The sequence below is a fragment of the Homo sapiens genome, chromosome X (genome assembly GCF_000001405.40).
Source record: "Homo sapiens chromosome X, GRCh38.p14 Primary Assembly".
NCBI classification, from domain to species: Eukaryota; Metazoa; Chordata; class Mammalia; order Primates; family Hominidae; genus Homo; species Homo sapiens.
The window spans coordinates 41916541-41926500 of record NC_000023.11 but is presented as its reverse complement, the minus strand read 5'-3'; the positions used below and the strand labels follow the sequence as shown (position 1 = coordinate 41926500).

At 43.5% G+C, this 9960-nt stretch overlaps 1 protein-coding gene and 1 pseudogene across 11 annotated transcripts in view, besides 2 other annotated features; both read left to right on the top strand.

The window, feature by feature from the left end:
* Positions 2593-3172: a silencer, noted in NCBI's record as "silent region_20779". NCBI's record gives its function as "represses an Ori minimal core promoter by ATAC-STARR-seq in GM12878 lymphoblastoid cells {active_cell/tissue: GM12878}" and the evidence as "EXISTENCE:reporter gene assay evidence [ECO:0000049][PMID:35858748]".
* Positions 2947-9960, top strand: part of CASK (calcium/calmodulin dependent serine protein kinase) — a 408621-nt gene continuing 401607 nt past the window's right edge. For 6 of the 11 annotated variants that reach the window (XM_006724566.4, XM_047442601.1, XM_011543996.3 and 3 more), the window contains exon 1: positions 3467-3571. In XM_006724566.4, coding sequence (XP_006724629.1) covers positions 3513-3571 — 59 coding nt within the window. In that variant the 5' untranslated portion in view covers positions 3467-3512. Of the gene's footprint in view, positions 3572-9960 lie in introns of all 11 variants that reach the window. The other 5 variants (NM_001126055.3, NM_001410745.1, NM_001126054.3 and 2 more) reach the window with 1 other exon arrangement.
* Positions 3443-3492: a silencer, noted in NCBI's record as "silent region_20778". NCBI's record gives its function as "represses an Ori minimal core promoter by ATAC-STARR-seq in GM12878 lymphoblastoid cells {active_cell/tissue: GM12878}" and the evidence as "EXISTENCE:reporter gene assay evidence [ECO:0000049][PMID:35858748]".
* Positions 7152-7247, top strand: RNU6-202P (RNA, U6 small nuclear 202, pseudogene; annotated as a pseudogene).

The window sequence follows — 9960 nt, the reverse complement described above, 5'->3', positions numbered from 1 at the left end:
ATACAAAAATTAGCTGGGCATGGTGTCAGGTGCCTGTAATCCCAGCTACTTGGGAGGCTGAGGTGGAAGAATCGCTTGAACCCAGGAGGTGGAGGTTACAGTGAGCCAAGATCGTGCCACTGCACTCCAGCCTGCTACCAAAGCCCATTTTCCCCCTACTTCTCCCTTGTCTACCTCCCAAGAGGAGGCAGGAGAAGACAAATATCCGTGTCCCCAGCTTCCCTTGCAGGTAAGTGTTGCTGCCTGTGACTCTGTCCTGGCCCGTGAGATGAGAAAAAGATATTTTCTTTCCCTAATAGATGAGAGACGGAGCAGAAAGGCCTCTCCTGTCCTTACTGCCCTCCTGCTTCCTCCCTTTAATGTCTGAAATTGCAGCAGCCATCTCATAATGATGAGGCAACAAGCCTGAGGATGAGATGCTAACATTACAAGAATGGCAGAGTGGAACGAATAAACCTAGGTCACTGATGACGCACTTGAATAGCTGATCAATGTTAATAACCACACATCTCCTTGCTACATGGAAAAGAGCACCCCGCCCCCTTGCATTTGTTTAAACCACTGTTAGTTGAATATTCAGTTGCTAACATCTGAACACAATCTAATAGATGCACTTACTTTAACATTTTCTTTGTGGAAACGAAAACAGAACCAAATTATTGACACCTGACTCACTAATACATGGGCTTATTTGTTGGAACAGTATTGGATTTTTGGAAGACACCCAGAGAAAAATTAATTTAAAAGGTTTGCTTATTTTAGTCCCCGAAGCAGAGAGGATCTACTTCTAACCATCATACATGGTACAACTTCTGAGGGATGTGTATTGCAGAGAATTTCTATATGACTAAATATTACACTGGGAACTGGGAGATCTAAGTACAGATCAGGAGAAAAAGTCCTCAGCTTTGTGCTGATTGGCAGACCTCAAACCACTCAAAGCTTGTGACCAGGGAGTGCCAAGAGCTGATTAAATTAGGCTTATCGCTGTGGCAAGGGGGCTGCATGTGTTAGTTTAATTAATCAGAGCCCACCTCTCCAGTAAAGATGGTTACAATCTCACCTCAAGTCCAGAGCTGCTACCCCATGGTGGGGGAGAGGGGTGGGATGGCTTTTGGGAGAGCAACCACCACATTCTTCCATCTGTAAGTGAGGGAGTCTCTTTCCAGATCCAAACCAACTGTGATCCTATGAGCAGAGCACTTACTTATTTTTGCAATCGTCTGTCTCTCTTTTTTTCACCTGCACTTTCTTTTCTGTTTTACTTTATGATTGTCCTTTTCTACCTCTGAGCATAGGTCCCTGTAGAAGACAACAAACCCCAAAATGAAGTCGACAAGGCTTGGTATAGCTCAGTCTTGGGCTGGGGAAAAGAAGTGAAGCTGACAAGGTGACTTGAGAGGGTCCCTGTGCACTTCAGGGCAGAATGGAGTGACGCCTTATTCATTAGACATGAGCTGGACATGCCAACTTGTGGTGAGTAACTCTTGGACCCTTAAAGGAGGCAATGTTTCTCAAGTTCTGAAGCCCCCGTCTCTAGAGAATGCACAAGCTCTTTGAGAAAGGAGGAAAACCGTGTGCAATTACACTTGTCCTCTGATCTGCATTTAAAAAAAAAAAAAAGGTTTAGTACCCAAATCCTTAGCAGGCAAATCTCTCAGCCTTTTGAGGGAGTGGTCAAGGGTTTGCACGAAACGTTTCTGAAGAGAAAATAGGCTGTGAGTCTCCACATCACCCCCTCCACTTTGGTATTAATAAATACTTTTTTTAAAAAAAATACTGCACTGAGAAATTTACCAGACGATTTCTGGAAACTGACTTATGAACTAATTGGGCACTTTTGCTGTGCGGAGGAACAAAGACACTATTGGTCTTCAACTGAGGCATATACCTGTCTGATGGCGCTGGCTCATTCCGCACATGCTCAGTTGAACAGAAATCTTCATATTGAATGCAACCTAGCACAGCGGCAACACCCAGAACCTCACTCCCTGGCTGCTCCTGTGCCTGCACTCCCTCTAGTTGCATTCTGTTCCTGACAAGTCTAACATTTATAGGGAGTATAGAGAGCAGAGTAGGTCCTGGGAGTTTGAGGACAATATACAAATGAGCTTAAAGTCACGGTTTGTCCCTGCCTTCCTAGCTTCTCTCTAGGTTGGTCTCTAGTGAGGGTAGGCGCTGGATAGATATTTGTTGAGTTTGGGGCAGAACGTGGGAGAAGCTGTCTCTATAGATGACCGTTTGCTGTCGCACACCTTCCTAGGCAGTTTTTGTTTAGTCCTTTTCTTGGACGACCTCCCCTTACCCCCAGCCCTCATCTTCATTAAGGAATGACAGGGTAGCACTAAAAGCATCCGCTGCCAAGCACGGATTCAGTGACAACCTCTCTCCACCTCTCTTTTAGCTTTCTCATTCATTAGCACCCTTTCCCTGCCTCTTTTCCCAGCAAAAAACTGGGAAAGGCTCCCTGCGATTACAAAAGAAGGAAAGGGGAGCGGCCAGAGTTTCGTGCCTCTTGCCGGACAACGAGCGTGCAGCCGTGGACCTTTTGTCTCCAGCCCCTTTCGCGGCTTGGTCGCGGCTAGGCGCGGAGGCGACGACCCCAACCAGCCCCGCCTCGGCAGCTGCAGCCGGCGCGCCCCACTCAACCCCCCGCGCCCTCTAGAATCCCGGTGCCCGCCCGTTCGCCGTGACGCGGCCGGCGCCCCGCGCATGCGCCGCTCGGCCCGCTCCCCTTTCCCTGGGCCACCGCCTCCCGACCGGTTGGAGTGGGCGGAGCCTGTGGTTCTGGAAGCCGCGCCGCCGACGGGGGAGGAGGGCGTGTCTGCGCGAGGCGGGTGAGCGGGGCTGGCGAGCCGGTCGGCTGCTGAGGCGTAGGGGCGGAGCAGAAGGCGGCGGCCGCGGCTCCCGCCCGCACAGAGCGCCGGTCCCGCGAAGCCCCCTCCCACTCCCGGGCGGGCGGTGGCGGCTGCGGGAGGAGGAGAAAGAGGAGGGAGCGTCTCTGCCGCCGCCTCCTGGTCCCCAGCGCCGATCCGCCGCCGCCGCCACCTCCCTCCGCGGCGATCCTCGCTCCATGGTCCTGCCGCGGCCCCCTCTGTAGCCCGAGCTGCTCCGCGACGCGACGGAGCCGGCCTCGGACAGAGGGAGCGGTCGCGGCCTCGCGGCCCGCGCGGGCTGACGAGCGGAGAGCGCGACGCCGCGCGGTCCCCGAGGATCCGCACGCCGGGCAGCGCGGCCCGAGCAGCGCGAGAAGCAGCGGGCGGGCGGGCGGCGCCGGGCCCGGGCCGCCCTCGCTCCCGCGCCCCGGCCCCGCCGCCCGCGCCGGGGCGGTCGCCTGCAGAGGAAGGCGCCGCAGTCTCTGGGCCTCGCGGCCCCACTCGAGCGTCCTCGGCACCGAGGGCTCGCGGGTCCTGAGGGGAGGAGGCGATCCCGGGGCTGGGCACTGAGCTCTTGGGCGCCCCCACCCCCGTTTTCGAAGCCCTCCACGCTGCGGCCGCTATCCCCTCCGGACCATGGCCGACGACGACGTGCTGTTCGAGGATGTGTACGAGCTGTGCGAGGTGATCGGAAAGTGAGTCTCCACGCGAGGGAGCGGGAGTGTGGAAAAATGCATTTCAGTGATGCCCCGGTCTTCCCGCACCCGCTCGGGGCCTGCCCCCTGCCCTCCCTCCTTCCCCTCTTCCCCTCTCGTCCTTCTCATCCTGGAGTATTTATAGACGTGTACCTGGAGCTCCTGCCAGGCGGGGGCCTGGGGGTTCTCAGCGGTCCATTGAGGCCACCGAGCCGAGGTTGGCCACCCCGTAAGGCGTGGGGCCGGCTGCCTGCATTTTATCTGACGGTTGCACAGGGACGTGGCACAGCCGATTTTATAGTTGCTTCAGTTGGGGTTATTGTTACCTTGCATGTACCATAGACCATTTTTGAAACAGAGCAGCTTGCATTTCCTTTGCTTGTGTGGTGAGAGAGTCCAGGGTTTTAATTGTGGGGTGTGTGTCTATTGTGCGGGATATTAGACAGATGCCTTTGTGTACACCCCATGCTCGGATTGGAGGGGGTCATTTAAGACGGGGTGCTTTCAGTTTCAGCAAATTCCCTCCTGGTGTACACGAACGTGGAAAGAGTTGGGGGCATTCGAATTTTTAATGCCTTGTTATGCAATGACTGTTCAATCAGTGCTCGAGACTCCCCTCGACTGTTGTTGGGATGGTGGTTAGCGTGGTAGAGCCGTCTGCTTTGAGTCACCGGGCTGGTCTAGAATATAGAACTGACAGTCCAAATGCTCATCCTTTCATCTGTGTTGTATAATTACGCTGGGGAAAAGCAGGGAATCAGATTAATCACAGTGCTGATTGAGAATTAAATCTGCAGTTCCTCATCTAATTGTCCATTCCTTAAATCTATTTTGAATAGTTTCCTTTTCATTCTTGTCAAACAGTACTCCAAGTGCACAATCCTGCTAATTTGCTTGTGAAGGAAATGCTGGCAATCTGAAGTTGATTTCCTAACACAGCGTGTATTCTGCGGCTTTAGAAGTTGAGGAGATAAGATTTAAGAGCAAATTTTTGCTTAATAAGGATCGCTAGAGCTAACATTGAAATATCTTACCTCTTTTTTTTTTTTTTTTTTTTTTTGGAAGCGGTGCTTTATTGTCTATTTTAAGGTCCACAGTTGGGAAATGAAACCAAGACCTTAAAGCAGTTGGCCCTATCTCTTTTAAGTTGTCTGCAGTACTCAATTTCAATTTGAGTGCTAATTTGTTTCCTTTTCTTTCCATATTGAGGTATTACAGTGTTGCCTCACATGGTGAAATTGTGGGTAGAGCTTGCTACACACTTTACTCAGACCCAATTGATGTGAGGACATGTTACTCCTTGCCCTATTGTTACATGACCAGCCAGACTTAAAAGGAAAGTATCCAAATGTGTCCTGTTAAAGTGCTTGTGGAAGTGTTCTAGAACAGCACTGTCCAAAAGATATATTATGAGCCACATTTGTAATTTAAAATTTTCTAGTAGCCACATTTAATAAAAACATACAGGTGCAATTAATTTTAATAAAATATTTTATTTAACCCTGTAGATCCAAACTTAACATTTCAACATGTAATCAATATGAAAAAATATTAATGAAATATTTTACATCTTTTATGCTAAGTCTTTGAAATCCCAATGTGTATTTTACACTAATAGCACATCTCAATTCTGACACTAAGCTACATTTCTGATGAAAATCAGAAATACTTAATCTGTATTTAGGTTTCATAAAATTTGCGTTTGCAAAAGTATATTCACATACCCAAGTTGTTCCCAATATACATAAAAGTTTTCCAATAACCGAATCAAGTACCTTTTTCTAAATTTAAATTTTAATTAATTAAAATTAAATACAATTCAAAATTCAGTTTCCCAGTCGGACCAGCCACGTTTCAGGTGCCCAGTAGCCACATGTGAATAGCACAGTTCTAGAGAGAAAAATGCATCAAAAATCTCCTTGGTTTCCTCATTCTTAGGAGCACCCAGTGAAGATAAATTAGGTGTTTCCCAAAAGCCTCCAAATGACTGTATGTGTGGGTGAATGATGTTTGTTGCATCTTAGTTATAGCTGATGTAAATGAACTAACAAAGTCATAATTGGAAAATGTGAGATTAAAATGTTAATTATATTGTGAAGATGTAAAATAGCCATCTCTGAATCAGTTTTGGTAACTAGTTCTGATTCCTTAAAGTCTGGAAGGGTGATGATGTGATCTCTTTGGATATCAAAAAGAAATGGTCAGAATCACATTAACACAGTCCATATTCTGCTGATTTGTAATTGATAGAATATTTTTCAGGAAACACCCCTGGGAGAAAAAAATTCATCTTTTCTGACTGTTTCAGAGCTGCATAAAGAGGGGCAGCAAGCTAATTTTGAGGTGATAGGTACTCTATGGCTACCTTAACTACTATGAACTGTGAAATCTCATTCATATCCTACAAAATCTGACTTGGTCAGTGCCAATTATAAAATGCCATTATGTGAAATAATGAATTCAAGCTAGCCTTATTGTTAAAGAATGTAATAATAGTGTTCCTCAATCTGAGTAAAGGTTGAAGGTTTCTCTAGTAAATTGTCTTAGTATATATTGATCTGGAAATTGAAATTAGCTTGAGATTTTCTTGCAGGGACCTTGACAGCATACATTTTTAACTTATAATTTGTTCACCTCTGAATTTGAACAGAAAGCCCTTGAAGATATTCACATGTACTGAAAACCTTTTTATTGATTTCTATCCAAGTTCTATGGAATTTTGATTTTCTTTTTTACCAAATTAGTATCACAAGTTGTTTTTCACCACTAGATCTTAATAGGTTTTAATTTTTACTAAGGTACTTTAAAATAGATTTCACTTTTCAAGACTAATTGACTACCCACTCACTCCTCTACCTACGCAACCACCTACTCACTCACCCACTGTGTACTTGGCCTTACTTGATGGCATAAATGAAAGTTCTCGTTTAATTTAGACCCTTCAGTGTGTTTTTTTCCCCCTTGGTTGAGAAAGATAACTTACAGAGTTAATGAGGTTTTGAAATATAAGATCATTATTTGGAATATGTTTTCTTTCCAGTGGTTGCAGCCTTTACCCTTGTTAAAGCTGTCTTTGAGGGAACATGTGCCCAATTTGTTACAAATATTGGAAGGATGCCGTTTCCCTTTTTAAAAATTAAAACTCTTTTCCCTGTGTTTCTCATTTTTGAAAATCTTGCAGAAACTCCTTTGAGTGACTGTTGGTTCTATAACATTTTCTATGTAACTATCTTTTAAATGACTGAAACAAATCTCCAATAATAAGACCTTATCATAGTCCCAAAACTTCTTGTCTTAGCAAATGTAGCGATTACTGGAAAGGAAGGGCGTTATGCAAATGAGGTTAATGACTAATTTTTATGTCATGATCATTTACTGTATCTTTTACAATTATAAGTAAGTGTACAACCGGTAATACTACATGAAGGAAATTTAAGACAATTCATCGAAATTAAAACATAGAAAAATGCCTACTTTCTTGGTACAGCAGTGTGTATGAAAGGGAATAACAAAATACATACCATTTTTACCTTGTGTTAGGTGAATACTTGCCCTGTTTAGTAGCCTGTAGCTTCAGACTTTCCTGCTCTGGTAGGACATACACTAAAATTGGAATGATGCAGCATGACCCTTGCTTAAGGATGACGTGCAACTTTGTGAGGCATGCTGTATTTGCTTACTCCTCGAGAGCACTTTTATTTAATTACAGTTACTTATTTATGGATCTCTCTAGTTCACTAATAAGGAGCTTCCTGAGGGCAGGGAATGTTTCTTACACATCTTTCTCCATTAACACAGTGCGTGCAATGTAACTGCCTTTCATTAGCTGTGGAATGAATTGAGTAGTTTTAATAAAATCTCATTAAAAGGCAAAAAAGCATGTTTGTCAACCTCAGAGCAATTATTGTCCGAAGAGCCTGCATTAGTTTAAAGTAGTGGTTCTCCACCTGGCTGCATATTAGAATCATCCGGGGAGCTTTTAAAAAAGATCAACGCCAGAGCCCTGTGTCAAAGCAGTGAAGTCCGAGTTTCTGGGACTGGGTCCTGGTCACTGACATTTTTTTAAAGCTCTCTGTGTGATTCTAATATGCAGCTATAATGAGGAATCATTGGCTTAAAACTTAGATTATGTATGTAATATTTTGGGACTGGCTTTTCAGAGGCTTACAATTCTTACAAAGTAGAATAAATTCTTTTTGGAAGGTATTGAAGCTAAATGGCTAAAACATGGATTTTATCTTCTATGCACTTGTGTTTCTCAGCCTTATTGTGTAAAAATTTAGTTTTAGCTTGTGTTTGGCTTTGATTTCTTGGGCCTTTTAAGATCCACATTGATTTATGACACTCATCTAATGCTAACATGGCGATTGTCTGACGTTTGGAACAACACAGAACAAGGATTGCTTCAATAACAGTTGATGATGGTTTTCCACTATAATGGCTTGATTTAATATGAAGAAATTTATCAGTTTAGTATGGATTGTGTTTGTACATACACTCTATTAAAAGAGTATGGTTAAGTTGCTTGTATGCTTTAAATTACATACTTGTGATTCCAGTAATGCTGTTAGCTGGAGAATTGAGTTAATGCAGCCTTTATGTAAATACTGGATTAATAATACGTAAAGTATATAATTCAGCATACAGAAAAATTCAGCTTTACTAATTTGTACTAATTACTATGACTTTCACATGTATTGATTCATGCAGTGATTTGGGTTTCTAGTACCATAGGGAGAATTTCGCATTGTGTTGAAAAAATGTTTCCCGGAAATTTTAACTAGACTTTGTAGGTAAACTAGTTTTTAATGTTAGGAAAAGATCAAGTGTTTGCCTGAAGGAACCGAGAATTTTCCAGAAATGAGTAGATATTCCAGAAATACCAGTGATCGTGAAAGCAGTGCATGATCACAGTGACAGCCAAGTAACAAGGTAAAAGAAGTGATCAGCAGCTAAATTGTTGGTGGCCCAGAAAGAATGCAAGCCATGGGAGTTAAGCTGTACTTCTACAGAGGAAAATCCTTTTGAACTCAGGGTGTGGATGCTACAGATAGCAGGCCTCAATGGGAGTGGGGAAGCAATATTGATTCCTGATGATCCTAGGATCATTTGGAGGGAGAACAGAGCTACTCCGTTGCTTTTCTGCATGTATACAACCTTCTCTAGTCTCTTCCTGTCTGCTTTTTACAGATTGCTTTAGGGTGTGTTGTTTGAAGTTGTCTTCATAAATACTTCCTGTGGACTCCCTTAATTTTTATGTCCGTAACACGCTTCTATGTACTTGACATACGCAGTTCAGCTCTCTCCATTTTTTCCTTGTATCTGCAACAGTTTCACCTGATGAACTACGTCTCAAGTGTCCCTAAATTGTGTACCTGGATATTTCCTTTAAACTGAAAATTCTGTCTCCAGCTGTAGTTCTACTCAATAAATTGAAGGAGCAGATATACCTTGCTTCTTGAGATTATTCTTGAATTATTACATTTTCTTAAACGTTTTCACATTTTAAATGTGGTAGGAGCACTGCATTTAAAGGAACTTTGACATAAGGTTGTTTAAAAAACTTCTATAACTTAAAGCTTACTTTATAAAGGGATTGACATTTATCCCTCTAATGTTAGGCATTTTGGATGTATTATTTAATCATACCCATTTTACAGAGAACACTGAGATTCAGAGGGGGTGATCAGTAATTCGCCTAAGATCACACAGATTCCAACGCGGTTCCATGGTTTTAAAGTCTGTTCATTTCATGCTGCATTCTGCTGCTAATTCAAGTTGTGAAAATACTGTGTTGGATTTTCTTAAAGACACGTCTTCATTTTCAGAGTTTCTATACTGCAAATTTTAGTTGTTTGACTTTCTGGTTAAATTTCTTATTTCTTCAGTAGAGGTTCCATATACTATTCATTCTTTCATCTGTTTCTTTTTTATTTTTGTCTTTCTCTTTAATGAAACATCAGCATTTGTTACCAAACTAACTGGTAAATCTAGCAATGGAAATATAGACTCTTGGCCATCTGTCCAAAATATAATTTGTTTTGGAACTTTCTCTACTTCTTTTACTCTCCAAATTTTTTCTTCCATTTCCCTTGCCCCAACAGACAGGATAGTTGATTAATTACCCCTAACTTGCCAAACCAGAAGTAATAAGGTTTCAGAGGTAGATGTTTGTTGGAAGTGGGGTGGAGTGGTTTCCAAAGGATAGTTATTCCTTTATCCTGTGATAAAAATACGGAGATTGTTCTCTCTGATTCTGAAAACCGTGTAGTGAGCTGCAGCCGCTGAGTCTGTGAGCTTCTAGCTGTTTGCCAGCACTGTACACCTTAAATAATCAAGAGACTGAGTTAACTATTGCAGAGCAGGTACCGGACCCCAGCCAACAAGCT